General features: G+C 41.5%; 1 long non-coding RNA gene and 1 pseudogene across 1 annotated transcript; both read right to left on the reverse strand.

Moving 5' to 3' along the window:
• On the reverse strand, window positions 4,221-4,906 carry LOC100419642 (zinc finger protein 85 pseudogene; annotated as a pseudogene).
• LOC101928401 (uncharacterized) lies at window positions 13,023-16,923 on the reverse strand. The gene is made up of 2 exons (NR_108099.1): window positions 16,842-16,923; window positions 13,023-15,681 (listed from the first exon to the last, which is right to left on the reverse strand). It is a non-coding gene; the product is annotated as an uncharacterized LOC101928401 (long non-coding RNA).
• Between the last annotated feature and the right edge of the window lie 1,445 nt (window positions 16,924-18,368).

Below are 18,368 nucleotides of genomic sequence, written 5' to 3' on the forward strand. Positions count from 1 at the left end.
AAAATAATAATCACACAGAGGCAGAGCAGCTATAGCCTGGGATATGTCCTTTAGACAGAATTTAACCATATGTCTACTCAGCGTCCTGAAAGTGTGACAGAGTAATAAACTCTTTTTTTTTGAGACAGAATCTCGCACTGTCACCCGGGCTGGAGTGCAATGGCGTGATCTCAGCTCACTGCAACCTCTGCCTGCTGGGTTCAAGCAATTCTCCTGCCTCAGCATCCCAAGTAGCTGGGATTACAGGCACCCGCCACCACATCTGGCTAATTTTTTGTATTTTTAGTAGAGAGGGGGTTTCACTATGTTGGCCAGGCTGGTCTCGAACTCCTGACCTTGTGATCCACCCACCTCGGCCTCCCAAAGTGCTAGGATTTCAGGCATGAGCCACCGTGCCCAGCCCAAGTAATAAACTCTTAATTGGAATATCTTGGAGGTGGCCAGCCCTAGTGAGTGAAAATTGTGAAATTATGACAAGCATTTAGCCAAGTACAAGGCCTACTTTAATGACTAGATAAGAATCTTTGATAAGAGTAGAATGTTTACATGCAAATGATGCTGATAATGTGATTGTCAAGTATCCAGAGTTAATTTTCTTTCATTTTTTTTTTTTTTTTTGAGACAGAGTCTCGCTCTGTCTCCCAGGCTGGAGTGCAGTGGCGCAATCTCGGCTCACTGCAAGCTCCGCCTCCTGAGTTCACACCATTCTCCTGCCTCAGCCTCCTGAGCAGCTGGGATTACAGGCACCTGCCACCACGCCTGGCTAATTTTTTGTATTTTTAGTAGAGATGGGGTTTCACCATGTTAGCCAGGATGGTCTCAATCTCTAACCTCGTGATCCACCTGCCTTGGCCTCCCAAAGTGCTGGGATTATAGGTGTGAGCCACCACGCCCGGCCAGTTAATTTTCTTAGGTAGATTCAACATCCCTTTTCCGATTTTGTTAGAATTGATCATTTCATTTGCAAACATATTTCTAAAATCGCTACTAATTTCAGAAGAGCTGATTCTGGATGTGTCTTTTATTGGCTTACAAAAATTTACCATCTACTTGTGAATATATAATTGCCAAAAATTGGGTTAAATTTGAATTGTTTTCTTGGGGAAAATCTTAGACAAGGGATGACTGAAGCACTTATGTTCTGCTAAGGTAAATATATGTGCATCATTTACATTTGGTACATAAACAAGAAGTGTTATCTGGCCAGGTGTGGTGGCTCATGCCTGCAATTCCAGCAGTTTGGGAGGCCAAGGTGGAAGGATTGCTTGAGGCCAAGAGTTGGAGACCAGCTGGGCAACATAGCAAGACCTCGTCTCTACAACACAAAAAAACTAGCCAGGTGTGGTGGCACACACCTGTAGTCCCAACTACTCAGGGGGCAGAGGCTGGAGGACCACTTGAGCCCAGGAGATCGAGGCTGTAGTGAACTATGATGACAGGTTTCGCCATGTTGACCAGGCTGGTCTCAAACTCCTGACCCCAGGTGATTCACCCACCTCAGCCTCCCAAAGTGCTGGGATTATAGGTGTGAGCCACCGCAATTCAGTCTGGATGACAGAGCAAGACCCCAGTATTAAAAAAAACAAAGTCATTTGTCGGGAAGCACTAGAAAATGGGATTTTGGAAATCAAAGTCTGGACATGGAACAAAGGTAACCAGAATAATCTCTCAGCCTGACTTTACCTTATCAGGAAGTGGAGAGTGTCCATCCCTTTGACCCAAGCAGGCCTTGTGACTACTTTAATAAAGAGGGCACAGAAAAAATGACTCTGGGTCAGTTCAGACATAGCTTTTTGCTGGCCTGGCAGCTTCCAGTTCCTGCCTCTTGGAAGCCATCTGCCTTAGAAGTGTGTTCACCATTAGGTCTCTGTGTAGTAAAAAGTCCAAGCCACGTGGAGAGGCCTGGAAGATGTGGCACCTGTAGAGTGATGGAGGCCAAGGAGTACTAAGGCACCATACATGAGGGTGAGGAAGCCCTCTTGGAAGCGGGTCCTCCAGTCCTCTCCTGCCCAGCTTGTGACATGGAGAGCAGAGATGCACCATCAGCCGAGACTTTCTGACCTACAACATCAACAGCAGCTTAAATAGCGGTTTTAACTGTTAGGGTCATAAGTCACTTTTTTCTTCTAGGCCTCTATTGGTTCATCAGAAAAAGGACAGTGGTACCTTTTTCTCTGTTTCATAGGGTTGGTGTCAGATTTATCATGAGGTCATGCTGAGATAACAAGTGTGAAAGCTGTTTTGTAGGTTAAGAATGCTAAGAAATGGAGCACAGTGGGTAGGCTCAAAACATGTGACTTAGCCACATGTGGTGGTACGCCCCTGTAGCCTCAACTACTTGGGAGGCTGGGGCAAGAGGATCACTTGTGTTGAGGGGTTGGAGATGGCAGTGAACTATGATTGCACCACTGTACTCCAGCCTGGGTGACAGAATGAGACCCTGTCTCAAAACCAAACCAAACCAAACCAAAACAAAATATTTTGATTAAAAAAAAATTGTTTTTTCAGATGGAGCCTCGCTCTGTTGCCCAGGCTGGAGTGCAGTGGCACAATCTAAGCTCACTGCAAACTTCACCTCCTGAGTTCAAGCAATTTTCCTGTTTCAGCTTCCCATGTAGTTGGGACTACAGGCACATGCCACCATGTCCAGCTAATTTTTGTATTTTTAGTAGAGACAAGGTTTCACCATGTCGGCCAGGCTGGTTTTGAACTCCTGACCTCAGGTGATCCACGTGCCTCAGCCTCCCAAAGTGCTGGGATTGCAGGTATGAGCAACTGCGTCCGGCAAAATTTTTTTTTAAATGTGATGTGTCCCAGTGTGTACGTGGAATGTGACAGATGCTGATTGTTCCTATGATCACAGCTCTTGAAGCCCCTGGTATCATCTATCATTGGTCCTCAGGTTCCCTTACTGACTCCTATTCTATGTTTATCTTTTTTCAAAAAAATATTTCTTTTAGAGACAGGGTTTCCTTCTGTAACTCTGTCTGGAGTTTAGTGGTGCAATCATAGCCCAGTGCAGCCCTGACCTCCTAGACTCAAGTGATCCTCCCCTTCTTAGCCTCCTAGGTAGCTAGGACTACAGATGTGAACACCACCACCCCTGGGTAATTAAAAAAAATGTTTAGAGGTGGGGTCTCACTATTGCCCAGGCTGGTCTCGAACTACTGACCTCAAGTGGTTCTCCTGCCTCAGCCTCCTGAGTAGCTGGGACTCTAGGTGTGTACCACCACACCTGGCTAATTAAAAAAATTTTTAGGGATGGAGTCTTACTATATTGCCCAGGTTGGTCTCAAACTCCTGGCCTCAAACTGTTCTTTTGATTCTGCCTCCCAAGTAGTTGGGACTACAGGTGTGCACCACCACACCTGGCTAATTAAAAAAACTTTTTTAAGAGATGAGGTCTTATGGTCTTAAACTCCTGGCCTCAAGTGAGTCTCCTGCCTCAGCCTCCCAAGTAGCTGGGACTACAGGTGTGAGCCACCACACCAGTTAGCTTCTATTCTTTAGCCCAGTTACCTGTCATATGTCAGAGGCCCCCAGGGAAGGGTAGAGGAGATCCTGATTCTACAATTCCGTTTTATGATTCTTGTGCTATTGACATACTGGCCACTCCAAAACACAAGGCTCAAGGAAATTGTGAAAGTGTTAATACCGTTGTTCTTCCTAGGGTGATTCCTTTTTTTTTTTTTTTTTTTTTTGAGACGGAGTCTCACTCTGTCGCCCAGGCTGCAGTGCAGTGGTGCGATCTCGGCTCACTGCAAGCTCCGCCTCCCGGGTTCATGCCATTCTCCTGCCTCAGCCTTCCGAGTAGCTGGGACTACAGGCACCTGCCACCACACCTGGCTAATTTTTTAATATTATTTTTTTTAGCAGAGACGGGGTTTCACCGTGTTAGCCAGGATGGTCTCAATCTCCTGACCTGGTGATCCGCCTGCCTTGGCCTCCCAAAGTGCTGGGAATACAGGCATGAGCCACTGCAACCGGCTGGGTGATTCCTCTTATTTTAATTTAGACTTGATTTTTGACTGAATACTTTTCCACATTTATTGCATCTGTAGATTTTTTTTCTGTATGAACTCTCTGATGTTTCCTAGATGTACATTTTAGACAAAATTTTTTCATGTTTATTACATTTGTAGGGGTTCTCTCCTATACAAATTCTCTGCTAAGATGTGAGAAAACATTAATGGTTTTACTACCAACTATTCATTTTACCAACATTTGTAAAGTGTTTCTCCAGTGCAAATACTGTAGTGTTCTCTAAGGTATATGGACAAAGTTCTTTCCAAATTCCTTACATGTATAAGGTTTCTATCCAGTATTAATTCTCTGATGTTGGGTAAGTTGTGAACACCAGTTAAAGGTTCTGCCTCATTTTTTACACTTGCAGCATGTCTCTCTAGCATAAATCTTGTGTGTGTGTGTGGTAAGGTTTGAGCCCACATTAAAAATTTGCCACATTCTTTACATTTTTAGGGTTTCTCTCCAGTATTAATTTTCTGATGTTGAGTAAGACACAAGCATCAGTTAAATGCTTTGTCACACTTATTACATTTGTAGAATTTCTCTTCATGTATGGATTCTCTGGTGTTATGTAAAGTTTGAGTAACAGTGAAAGGCTTTGGCATATGTTTTATGTTTCAATCGTTCCTCTCCAATAAGAATTATCTTATGTCTATTTATATTTGATGACTGACTGAATATTTTCCCACATATTTTGCATCTGTATGCGATTTTTTCCAACATGACTTCTCTGCTGTTGAGTAAGTTTTGAGGACTGGCTCAAAGTTTCACCACATTAATTGCATTTGTAAGGCCCCTGTTGAATATGTATACTCTGATGGATAATAAAGTTTCCACATTGGCAAAAGACTTTCCCACATCTCTCACATTGGTAATGATTCCCTGGAAAGTTAGTACTTTAATGTTTACTAGAATTTGACCTTGGTTAAAGATTTTCCGGCCGGGCGCGGTGGCTCACGCCTGTAATCCCAGCACTTTGGGAGGCCGAGGCGGGTGGATCATGAGGTCAGGAGATCGAGACCATCCTGGCTAACAAGGTGAAACCCCGTCTCTACTAAAAATACAAAAAATTAGCCGGGCGCGGTGGCGGGCGCCTGTAGTCCCAGCTACTCGGGAGGCTGAGGCAGGAGAATGGCGTGAACCCGGGAAGCGGAGCTTGCAGTGAGCCGAGATTGCGCCACTGCAGTCCGCAGTCCGGCCTGGGCGACAGAGCGAGACTCCGTCTCAAAAAAAAAAAAAAAAAAAGATTTTCCAAGTTTCATTACAATTGTTATGTTTCCAAAATTGATGTTAATATTTACTTTAAAAAATATGGTTCTGGTCGGGTGTGGTGGCTCATGCCTGTAATCCCAGCAGTTTGGGAGGCTGAGGCAGGTGGATCATGAAGTCAGGAGTTCAAGACCAACCTGGCCAAGATGGTGAAACCCCATCTCTACTGAAAATACAAAAATTAGCCAGGTGTGGTGGTGGGTGCCTGTAATCCCAGCTACTCGGGAGGCTATGGCAGAGAATTGCTTGAACCCGGGAGGCGGAGGTTGCAGTGAGCTGAGATCGCACCACTGCACTCCAGCCTGAGCGACAGAGCAAGACTCCATCTCAAAAAACAAAACAAAACAAAAAATTATTATATATATGGTTTTGTAGAAGTAGCTAACATAAACCGAGTTTTTTCTGAGATGCTCTATATTCCTAATTTTCTTTGGCAGTTAAATTTTTGTTATTGTAGTTGTTGCACATTGGTTATCTATATTATAACCTTAGGATGCTAATTTCTTCCCTTCCCCGGAATGGGCTATGTCATCACTCAGGGCTTTGTCCTTCACATGCTCCCTCTCTTTGCAACTGATGTCACAAAGTTCTGCTGACATACTCTGTGACACAGCTGTTTGGAACTTACCTTATGGCCCCATTCTGAGCTGCTAGCTCCCATCTCCCCACCCAGGAAGCAGCTCCTATGGCCGATCCCCAAGTGCAGGGGTCTCTGGGCTTCTGTCTTCCCTGATAAGCCCACACATGGGAGACAGAGAGCTCAGGGTGGGACTTGGGCTTCTTTCAGAATGAGTCTGTGCCATAGGGCTGCACCTCAGCCTTAAGGACATGCTCAAAATGCCCATCTCTATATGTTGAATCAAGGACCTCTGGGGCAGACTGACTGACTGAAGTGAGGGTCATGCTTGTAAGTCTTGAAGACTTTTCATCAAACTTTCTGTTAAAATCTAAGATCAAAAGCAACTACTATCCAAAATATCAGGGTTTGCTGCCAATGAACGGAATGACTTGGAGGAAGAACAACTCATTACTGCTGGGCCTGAGGAACAGGCTGGAAGGGAGCGGACTTCACCAGGGACTTTCCACAGGTGACCCTGGTTCTGCAGTGATAGAAGCTCCTATACCCTAAGCTGTAAAATTATTCAGAAAGATCAAGGATAATGTGTCTACATTTTACCTTGAAACTGGCTGACAATTTACTTCTGGGGATTATTTATTTTCTCTCTTCTCTAATGAATTTATAACCTATTATATCTTTTTTTTTTCTTTTCTGAAAATCACAGTATTTTTAAAAGACAGTTGCAGGAAAGAACCATGACTTTCTATCAGAGTGCTTGTTACAAGTCCACTCTTCTAGTTTGTGAAAATGTGCCACTTGCCAATGTTTTTTGTTTCGTTTTTTTTGTTTTGTTTTTTGGATGGAGTCTCCCTCTGTCGCCCGAGCTAGAGTGCAGTGGTGCCACCTCGGCTCACTGCAACGTCCACCTTCCGAATTCAAGTGATTCTCCTGCCTAAGCCTCCCCAGTAGCTGGGATTACAGGTGCCCACTGCCATGCCCAGCTAATTTTTGTACTTTTAGTAGAGACGGGGTTTCACCACGTTGGCCAGGCTGGTCTCGCTCTCCTGACCTCAAGTGATTCACCTGTCTCAGCCTCCCACCAATGTTCAGTTCTTATCCTTTCTCTTTCTCAGTTCTTGTCCTTCTTCTTGTAAGTTTTTTGAACATGCCAGTGAAAAAGCAGTTCAGCCATTTGGTGAAAGAAATTTCCATTTACCAACATAGGAAGAGTTCATATTCACAGACTCCAAACATAGATAGAGTCAGCCCTCCTCATTCACGGTTTCTGCAATCCTGGATTCAAAAGATGTAAATCAAAAATATTTCTTATAAAGCATCTCTACTAAACATGTACAGACTTTTTTCTTTATGTTATTTCTTAAACAATAAAGCATAACAATTTAGGTATTACAAGTAATCTAGAGATTATTTAAAGTATGCAGGAGTATATGCATTGGTTATATGTAAATACTATGCCACTTTATAAAAGGAGCTTATGCATCCATGCATTTTGGTATCCAAGAAGAATCCTGGAACAAATGCCCTAGGAAGAGCAAAGGAATATGGTAAAATGTGTACAATGTTCATAATAATCTAGCTGTTCACTACAACAGATTGATAAAATGAATAATGGACTCAGACTTCCCTTGGCCTGTATGGCTTGGCTGGCAGCCTCTGAGATGCAGCCCTTTTCTACCAAGATGTGCATTAAGGCTACCATGTACAGTTGAGAGTCAGATGGCTCTTCACCAAAAACAGATCACATACTAATTTTAACACATTCCAGCCTCCTAAGAGTGTCCTGTTGAGAGGCATGCCATCTTGATGCAGGAGAGAATTCGTTAGCAAGCTATGGCAAACATCTGATTCCATGTACTTCCTATGTACCTACAATTGCATATAATGAGAAATTAGATAATTTATCAAAACTGGCCTTTACTTTTAAAAATGTTTCTTATTAATTTTGGTTGAAGAAGAGAGAAGACACAATGTTAATGCCAGAAGTGAAAGAGGAGTTATCATTACTGATCCTAGGAACGATTAAATAAAAATAAGGAAATACTATGAACCACTAGTAAAGTATACCAAACATTTAAGGAAGAAATTGTCCCAATTATCTACAGTCTCTTCAGAAAACAGATGCAGAGTTAATACTTTCAAACTCATTCTCTGAGGCTGTCAGTACCATAATACCAAATCTAGACAAAGGTATTACAAGAAGAAGAAGAAAACAGAACAATATTTCACATGAACAAAGATGTGAAAACCCTCAATAAAATAGGAAACCAAACCTAAAAATGTATAAAAAGAATTATATAACACAACCCAGTGAGATTCATTACAGGCAAACAAGGTGGGTACAACATTTGAAAATAAATTAGGCTGGGTGTGGTGGCTCATACTTGCAACCCCAGTCTATTAGAAGGCCAAGGCAGGAAAATCACTTGAGGAAAGAAGTTCAAGACAAGCCTGGGCAACGTAGCAAGATTCTGTTTATATTTACAAAAGAAAAGAAATTAATTAGTTCATCATATTAATATGTTAAAGAAAAATTATATGACCTTATTTGTACATGCAGAAAAATCATTTGACAAAATCAAAACCTATTCATCAGAAAAACTCTCTGAAAACTAGAAATAGAGGGAAGCTTCTTTTATTTAACAAAGAATATCTACAAAAACCCTGCATCTATGCTCATACTAAATGTTGAAACATTAGCTGCCTTCCTGCTAAGATCAGGAGCAAGGCAAATATGTTTCCTGTCACCATTTTTATATAACATCATACTATAAGGCCTAGTTAATGCAATAAGACAAGAAAAGAAAAGGTACATAGATTGGAAAAGAAAAAATAAAACTGCCTTTTTTCACAGATGATATAATTGCCTATGCAGAAATCCCAAAGGATCACAAAACAAAACTCTTAGAATAACCAACTATAATCAGCAATTATAGCAACTTTGCAGAATGCAAGATTAATATAAAACCATCAGTTGCTTTTCTACATATTAGTAATATAATTAGAATTTTTAATTAACACAATGGCGTTTACACTAGCACCAATAACAATAAAACACTTAGTTACAAATCTAACAAAATTAATGTAAGATCTATATGAAGAAAACTGTGTTTTAAAATGTCAAAGATCTAAATAACTAGAGTGATAATCCACAATCAAGAACAGAAAGATTAAACCTTGTTAAAATATCAGTATTTCCCAACTTCATCAGCATATTCAATGCAATCCCAATCAAAATTACACAAAGTTAGTTTGTGTATATTGACACACTGACTATACAGTTTAAATGGAAAGGCAAAGGACCAAGAATAGTCAAGAAAATATTTAAAAGAACAGTTAAAGGAATGACACTATCCAACTTTAAGAACTACTGTAAAGCTACAGTAATGAAAGCAATGTGATAATGGTCAAAGAGTAGAGAAACAGATCAATGGAAAAAAAAGAGAAAGCTCAGAAATTGACCCACACTAATATAGTCAGCTTATCTTTGAGGAAAGAGCAAAGGGAATTTGATTGAGAAAAAATGATTTTTCAACAAGCAGTCCTGGAAAAACTGGACATCCACATACATGATGGAAAAAATGGGGAAAAAAATCCCCAAACCCAGACTTTACAACTTTTACAAAGATTACTCAAAATGGATCACAGACCTATATAAAATGAAGAACTACAACACTCCTGGAAGATAACATAGAGCAGAATCTCAATTACCTTGGGTTTGCCTCCTTTAATACAACACCAAAAACATAATTGATGAAAGAAAAAAACTGCTAAGTTGGACTATATTAAAAATAACATTTCTTCACTACAAAAGACACTGTTAAAAGAATAAAAAGACAAGTCACAGAATGGGAGAAACGATTTGCAAAACACATAACTAATAAAAGACTGGTATCCAAAATATGCAAAAAGAAAAAAAATGCTCTTAAAACTCAAGAATAAGAAATTAACAACCCAATATAAAATAGCAAAAGGTCCAAAAATATACCTTTCTAAAGAACATATAAGCATGGCAAATAAGCATGCAAAAAGATGCTCAGCACCATATACCATTAGGGCATTAAAATTTAAAATAGCAATGACATACTGTCACACACATATTGGTATAGCTAAAATCCCAAACACTCACTACACTAAATGCTGGTGATGATGTAGAGTAACAAGAGCTCTCATTTATTGCTGGTGAATATGCAAAGTGCTGTGACCAGTTTGGAAGACAGTTTGCCAGTTTCTTACAGAGCTAAATATACACTTACATACAATCCAGCAATCATACTTACTGGCCTTCATTCAAAAGAGGTGAAAATTTGCATCTACACAAAAATCCATAAATGAATATAGAGCAGCTTCATATGTAATTGCCAAAACATGCAACAGACTAAGATCCCTTTCAATAGGTGAATGAATAAACTAACTCTGGCGCAACCATACAACAGAACATCATTCACTGATAAAGAAATGAGCGTCCAGCCTTGAAAAGACATGAAGAACCTTAAATGCACATGGCTAAGTAAAAGAAGCCAGTCTGAAAAGGCTACATACTATATGATTCCAACCATTTGACATTCTGTGCAAGGCAAAACCATGCAGAGAGAAAACAGATCTGTGGTTACCAGAAGTTTGAGAGGAAGAAGGGAGTGGCGAATAGGTGGAGGACAGCGAATATTTTAAGACAATAAAACTATTCTTTATAATGCAGTGATGGTGAATACGTGTTATGTCATTATGCTTTTGTCAAAATCCACAGAATGTAAAACAGAAGACATGAATCCTAATGCAAACTATGAATTTTAGTTAATAGTACTTTTCTTCTTTAAAATTTATTTCCATAGGTGATTGGAAAACAGGTGGTGTTTGGAGATGTACGTTTTTAGTGGTGACTTGTGAGATTTTGGTGCACCCATCACCCAAGCTGTATACACTGCATCCACTTTATAGTCTTTTATTCCTCACCCACTTCCCACCCAATAATAACTTCTCTATATTAGTTCATTAACAGTAAACAAATGCACAACACTGATGCGAGATGTTAATAATAGAGGAGAAGCTGGGTGGGGGAGAGAATACATGGAAACTCTGTACTTTCCACTCAATGTTTATGTAATTTTAATACTTATCTAAAAAACAAAATATATTAAGTATCCCAATGAGGACTATCAAATGTAGAACAGAATTAAAAATTATACTATGTTTACATAATTGAATATAGTATCATGTAGCAATTAAAATAAATAAATTCAGATGTTAAATGTCATCTCCATTACGGTAATCACAAAGAAAAGCTACAGAATATACACAAAGAAAAATAAAGGTTAAAATGTTTCACTAAAAGAAACCAAACAAACACAAAAGAAGAAAGTAATGTAGAAAATATCAAGTAAAAAGCTGTAAGGTATACCAAACACAAATAGCAAAGTGGTAGAAGTCAACAGAAAAGAAAAAGAAAAAGAAAAGCAGTGGCTCATGTCTGTAATCTCTGCACTTTGAGAGGCTGAGGCAGGTGGATCACCTGAGGTCAGGAGTTCAAGACAAGCCTGGCCAACATGGTGAAACCCCATCTCTACTAAAAATACAAAAATTAGCCAGGCGTGGTGGCAGGCACCTGTAATCTCAGCTACTTGGGAGGTTGAAGCAGGAGAATTGCTTGAACCCGGGAGGTGGAGGTTGCAGTGAGCCAAGATCACGACACTGCACTCCAGCCTGGGTAACAGACCGAGACTCTGTCAAATAAAAAAATTAAAAAAAAAGAGAGAGAGATCAGTTTTAATCCCATTCCATGATGCCAGCACTACCCTATACCAAAGCCAGACAAAGATACTACAGAAAACTACAGATTATTTGTTCCTAAAGAAACGCTGATGCAAAATTCCTCAGCAAAATTATAGCAAACAAAATTCAGCAGCATATTAGAAAGATTATACACTAGGACCAAGTGGGGTTTATTCTTGGAATGCAAGCCTGTTTTGGCATATGAATGTTTTTAACATACAAAAATTGGTCAACACATACACATTAAAAAAAGAAAGGAAAAAATGATCACCTTCTGGATACAGAAAAAAAGGATTTTGTAAAATTCAAAATTTTTTCATGGTGAAAACACTCAACAAATTAGGATAAAAAAAAACACTATCATCGTGAAATCCACATATTAAAAACCAACAGCAAACAATGTCCTTCAGGGTAAAAGACCTAATGCAATTAAACAAGAAAATGTAATAAATAAATGTTATAGAGATTGAGATTAATAAAAAAAGACAGAAAGCTTTTCCTCTAAGCTCAGGAACAAGGCAAATGTGCCTTCTTTTGCCATTTCTATTCTCCATAGTATTAAAAGTTCTAGTTAGAGCAATTAAGAATTAAAAAGAAATAAACCGCATCCAAATTGGAATGGTAGAGGTAAAATTAACCCTGCTTACTGATAATATAATTTTATGCGGAAAACTCTAGAGATTTAACGCATTCACACAAAACATATTACAACTAATAAATTCAGCAGAGTAGCAGCATACAAAATCGACATACAAAAATCGCTTGTGTTTCTACACAGTAATAATGAATAATCTGAAAAAGAAACTAAGCAAACAATCCCACTTACAATAGCATCCAAAAGAATAAAATCCTTAGAAGTAACCAAGAAGGTAAAAATCCCAAAGACTCTTTTGCAGTAATAGAGAAATCCTGCCTAAATTTCATATGGAATCTCAAGGGACCCTGAATAGTCAAAACAATCTTGAAAAAGAAGAGCGCTGTTAAAAAATTCATACTTACTCATTTCAAAACCTACTACAGAGTTCCAAAATAGTGTGGTACTGGCATAGAGACACACATATGGACAAACAGAATAGCAAACAGCTTATAAATAACCCCTCATTTATATGGTCAAATGATATTTGATGGGGATGTAAAGATCATTGAATGGGAAAGGACTGTCTTTACAACAATTGGTGCTGGGGAAGTTGGATATCCATACATGCAAAATTATGCATTTGGTTCTTTACCCTACACCATAAACAAATAAAAATGGATCAAAGACCTAAATGTAAGAGCTTAAACTACAAAATTTTTGAAGAAAATACAGGTAGAAAACATCTTGACATTGTGTTTGGCAATGATTTCTAGGATAGGACACCCAAAGCACAAGCAACAAGAGAAAAATAAAGACAAATTGGACTTTATGAAAATAAAATAAAACTTTTACACATTAAAGGATATTATCAACAATATTGCAAAGCAATGCACAGCATGGGAAAATATTTGCACATCATACATCTGATAAGAGATTAATACCTGGAATATATAAAGAACTGCTATAACTAAACAACAACAAAAAAAAACTACCTCATTCAAAAATGGGCAAAGGACTTGAACAGACATTTCTTAAAGATGGTGTAAAATGGCCAAAAAGCATATGAAAATATACTCGAGAGAACTAATTATTAGCAAAATGCAAATCAAGCCTACAATGAGCTATCTCTTCACATCCATTAGGATAGCCACTATCAAAAAACAGAAAATAACAGTGTTGATGAGGATGTGGAGTGATTAGAAACCTAGTAAGCTATTGGTGGGCAAGTACAATGTCGCACCTGCCATGAGAATCACCAAGCGCAGTGGCTTACATCTGTAATCCCAGCACTTTGGGAGACCGAGGTGGGTGGATCACGAGTTCAGGAGTTTGAGACCAGCCTGGCCAACATGGTGAAACCCCGTCTCTAATAAAAATACAAAAAAATTAGCCAGGCATGGTGGTGCACGCCTGTAATCCCAGCTACTCAGGAGGCTGAGGCAGAAGAATCACTTGAACACAGGAGGCGGAGGTTGCAGTGAGCTGAGATCACACCACTGCACTCCAGCCTGAGCAACAGAGCAAGACTCCATCTCAGAAAAACAAACAAACAAACAAATACAATTACACTTATAATTACCTTATAATCCAGCAATCTTGCTTCTGGGATATACTCAAAAAGATATGAAAGCAGGCACACAAAGAGATATACATACACCTAGGTTCCTAGCAGCATTATTCACAATAGCTAAAAGGTGAAACAATCAAAGCTTTCCTTGAATCATCAACATCAATAAATACGTAGGTAAACAAAATGTGTTTTTACATGCAGTGGAATATTATTCACTTAGCAAAAGTAAGAAAATTCTGATACATGCTACAACATAGATAAACCTTAAGGACATTGTGCTAAGTACAATAAACCAGTCACAAAATGACAAACACTGTATGATTCCACTCACGTGAGGTATTTAGGGTAATTAAATTCATAGAAACACAAAGTAGAAGAGTGGTTCCTATGGGCTAGAGGGAGGGTAACTGGGAGCTGTTGCTTAATCAGCACAGAGACTCAGTTTTGCAAGATAAAAAATGTTCCCTATAGATGGGGATGGTGGTTGCAAAACAATGTGAATGTATTTAATTCCTGCACACTTCACACTTAAAAATGGTTAAAGTGGTTAATTTTATGTATATTTTACCACAGTGTAAACAATGCTTTTTAAAGTGTACAAATTATAGCAATCTGCAACAGCAAAGATGAATATCACAAACATAATGACATGTAAAAGAAAGTAGGTGTAAAAGTATCCATACTATATTATTTCATTTATATAAAATCCAGTAAGCAAACAAAACTAAGGTTCTGGCTTCCAGTAGTACTGGAGTATTGTTGAACTAACACTCTCACATGTAACTGTGACAAAATCTGCATAGTATATACAGTTACATAGAATCACACATCTATATAAAATACATATATGTGCATAAGAACTGAATGAGGATTTCAGCTGTGCCCACTGCAGGAGAGACAGGTATTGCAGTTTGAATCCAGCCAAATTAACCCCTTCTTCAAATAATAACAATGCTCTTCAAAAGAATACAGCAGAATTTAGAGTCTCTATAACCACCAGAAACTCATAGAACACATTAAAATTCATGAAATGTGTGAAGAAAGATGAAAATGTAATGTATACACAAGATAAAAAGCAACATGATGTAATCAGATCAGCAGACAAGGATTTAAAATCAGCTCTTATGAGTATGTTCATGAGAGTAAAGGAAAATATTCTCATAATGAATTAACTGATGTGGAACCTCAGCAGAGAAATGAAAATTATAAGAAGAACCAAATAGAAAAATAATGAAATGGAAAACACGCACACACACACACGCACACACACCCTTGAGCTTATCCACAGAGTAGAAACAGAAGACAGCAATAGAAATCATCCAACATGAAACATGTTTGAAGAAAATGAACAGAGCCTTTAGAGACTTGTGGAGTGACTGAGTCTGAGAAGAAGAGGAAGACACAGAAAAATTAAATATGGTACAAAAGTAAAGAAACTACTAATAGCAGAAAACTTACAAGATGTGGTCAAAAACCCCAATTTTTATATCCAAAAGGTGAACACACCCCAAAAAGAAAATACACCTAAAACCATACCCAGGACATGTTGTGATTTAGGAAACTGCCAGGGCAGCATTTTCAGGTAACTTGCTATGATTTCTCATTTGTAATATTTATAATAATGGAAAATATGTTCTCCTTAGAGTTTTCTTCTGAAGAAAGTCTGATAGTTCAGGCGTAGATGACTTTCCAGTCTAGTTTTCGAGGTTTAATTTCTCACCTTGAAAATCAATTAAATGTGTTTCTTCAAAATCTTGCAGTAAAATTGATGCTCCAGAAAGATGTCCACGGAGATTCTGCTCTTGTGCATCCGCCCTGCACAGATCTGAGGCTGGGCCTATAACAGCTTCAGGAGCATGTAGCCGTGGAGTACTTAAGAGTTAATCTGAAAAACTAAAAGGAAAAATGAATTAAGGGAATTACCACGGTTAAGTTCCACCAGCAAATTATTAAAAGTGGTCCAAAGGGATACTTAAAAAGGATTAATAAAAGAGTTTTCTCATTTGTAGAATCCTAGCCCATGACTTAATGTTGAGGTTTGCTTTGTCTTTTACATTAACATGTACGCAGAACATTTTTCATGACCTCACCACACAAACTTCCCTCATGTGTTGGGAGGGACCAAGGGGCCCTCTGGTCCTGCACCTGCATTAATTACGGCCGGGAGGTCCACACTAGGACCCGAAGGCCTGGGAACCAGCCTGGGTGGGGGCAGAGAAGTGGTGGATGTTGCTCCCAAAGCGACTTAGGGGCTCCCTTCCTGGTGGCTGTTTCCTGACTGGATGCAGCAGGGTCAGGCCTTTTCCCTGTGACATTTTCTTCTTTTTATTACAGCGGCAGGAGCGTCCCTGTGAGGGTCGTGACCCAGGTGTGGGCCATGCAGCCAACCCGAGGTCCAAGGGGCGTCCTGGGGAGCATAGGTTGATTTGTGACAGCTTGGAGAGATAGAGCTAAATTTAGGTGACCTTGAAATAGAAGTGTCAGGTTACCAGGGACTAGGTGTTTTCACGTCAGGCAGTGAACTGATCGTTTCAGACACTCAGGAGAGAGAATCCCACACGGGATCGAAAGACGCCAGAGAACTGCCAGGCCCGTGGGCCTTAAGTCCCAGCCATAGGGAAGGGCTGCACTGAGCACGTCCGAAGGGGCATAGAAACGGATGGGCGAGAAGAAAGCGCAGGGCCGAGGGGAGAGGCAGGAAGGGAAAGTAGGGGTGCGCCAAGTTCCGGGAGGACAAGCGTTACTATGGCAACCCTACTGAATAGACTGAATAGAGGCGACCACTTGCTGGTCTGCGGGAAATCGAGCTTTCAAAACAAGTCCTGAAGCAGGAATGCTGGGGAACGAGATGTCACAATTACCAGGTGAGACCAGCGGCCCTGCTCAAGCTGTCTCCTGACAGGCAGGAAAGGTTTGGAAACAGCCAAGCTCCCCCACCCACCGCCAAACGACACGGGACGCCTGGAGGGACGCGGAGGAGGAGGGACCTCTGCTCGATGTATCTGTATCTGAGAGCTGTAGTCTCTTATTCGCTCGCAGCTGTAGTCTCTTACTTGCTCACAGGGCTGCCTGACTACAATCCCAGCATAAACCAGGATTGGAGGCGGTGCGTGTCCCAGGAGAGAGGGCCAGCGCGGTGCGCGCCTCGCCAGGCATGCTGGGAGGAGTAGTCTCCTAGCCACTTCCGGCCGTTGGTCACAGGTTGCCGGACTACAATCCCAAGCATGCATTGGGATTGGGGATTGCGGATGGAGTTGGTACCTTCAGGGAGGGGCAGTGCGGTGCGCTCCTCACCAGGCATACTGGGAGTAGCAGTGTTTTTGCTTTTTGTTTTTTTTTTTTCTTTTCTTTTTTTCTTTTTTTTTGAGATGGAGTTTTGCTCTTGTCGCCCAGGCTGTAGTGTAATGGCGCGATCTCGGCTCACTGCAACCTCTGCCTACCGGCTTCAAGCGATTCTCTCACCTCAGCCTCCTGAGTAGCTGGGATTACAACTGCCCGCCACCACGCCCGGCTAAGTTTTTTATTTTTAGTACAGACGGGGTTTCACCATGTTGGCCAGGCTAGTCTCGAACTCTTGACCTAAGGACCTCTCAAAGTGGTAGGATTACAGGCGTGAGCCACCGCGCTCGGCGGGGTGTAATAGTTTCTTAACCACTTCTGGCTGTTGGTCTCGGGGCTACCGGACTAGAATCCTAGCATGTGCCTGGTGGTGCGCAGCCCCGGAGGGAGGGGCAGGGCCGTGTGCACCGCTCCGCTTCCAAAGCCATGCTGGACACTGATTCTGCGCCAACCCTGGCTGAGGGGAGCGAGTCCGCAGAGGGACTTGAGGGGCAGGTCTGGGCTGGGCAGTGAGAAGGGTGGCTGCGAAGTGCACCTCGCCTTTGCCCAAATCGGGCAGGTCTCATCCTCACCCCACCTCCTGCTCCTCAGCTCGGTTTCCTCTCCCACCTGCACCCGGGGTCTTTCCAGAGCATCGCGCCTCCTTCAGCCCAGGGAGCCGCCTGCTTTCTTAAGCTGCTGTGGGAACTGGCCTGAGGTCCAGACGCTGTCCATTGTGCTGCTGCCCTCTGCCCTCTCCAACCGGAGCGCAGTTCAGCCGCTCTTGGGAGTATCTGCTGCCTGGCCCGCCGGCGCACGACTTCGGAGCTTTGCAGGGGTGGGCATGGGCTGTGGCTTCCTGGAAAGGTCACCCTCACCAGCACCTTTTCCGTGGATGTGAAAGTTGAGGCATGAGCGGGGTGGCGGGGGTGGGCCGGGGGCCATTATTGGTTTACCCAGGAGATGCAAGAGCAGAGGAGTAACCCTGATTCCCAGGCATGTGTCCTGAGCCAGGGACAGACTGGCCAGACCCTGAGACCCTGGGGCCACCAGAGAGCAGCCTACTCCCCTGGGTTCTGTGCCTAGGTTCTGCCCTGGGTTCTGGGTGAGGGGGGGATGACCCACCGGCTGGTGGTCCTGAGAGGGCCAGCCCATCCCCCTTGGAGAGGGTCTTTGTGCTGATGGATGCCCGCAGAGTCCTGGGCACCAGGGACACTTGCTCCAGGCAAGGGGCCTTCCTGGGGAACGCCACAGATTTGGCT

Source organism: Homo sapiens, chromosome 7 (assembly GCF_000001405.40).
Source record: "Homo sapiens chromosome 7, GRCh38.p14 Primary Assembly".
NCBI classification, from domain to species: Eukaryota; Metazoa; Chordata; class Mammalia; order Primates; family Hominidae; genus Homo; species Homo sapiens.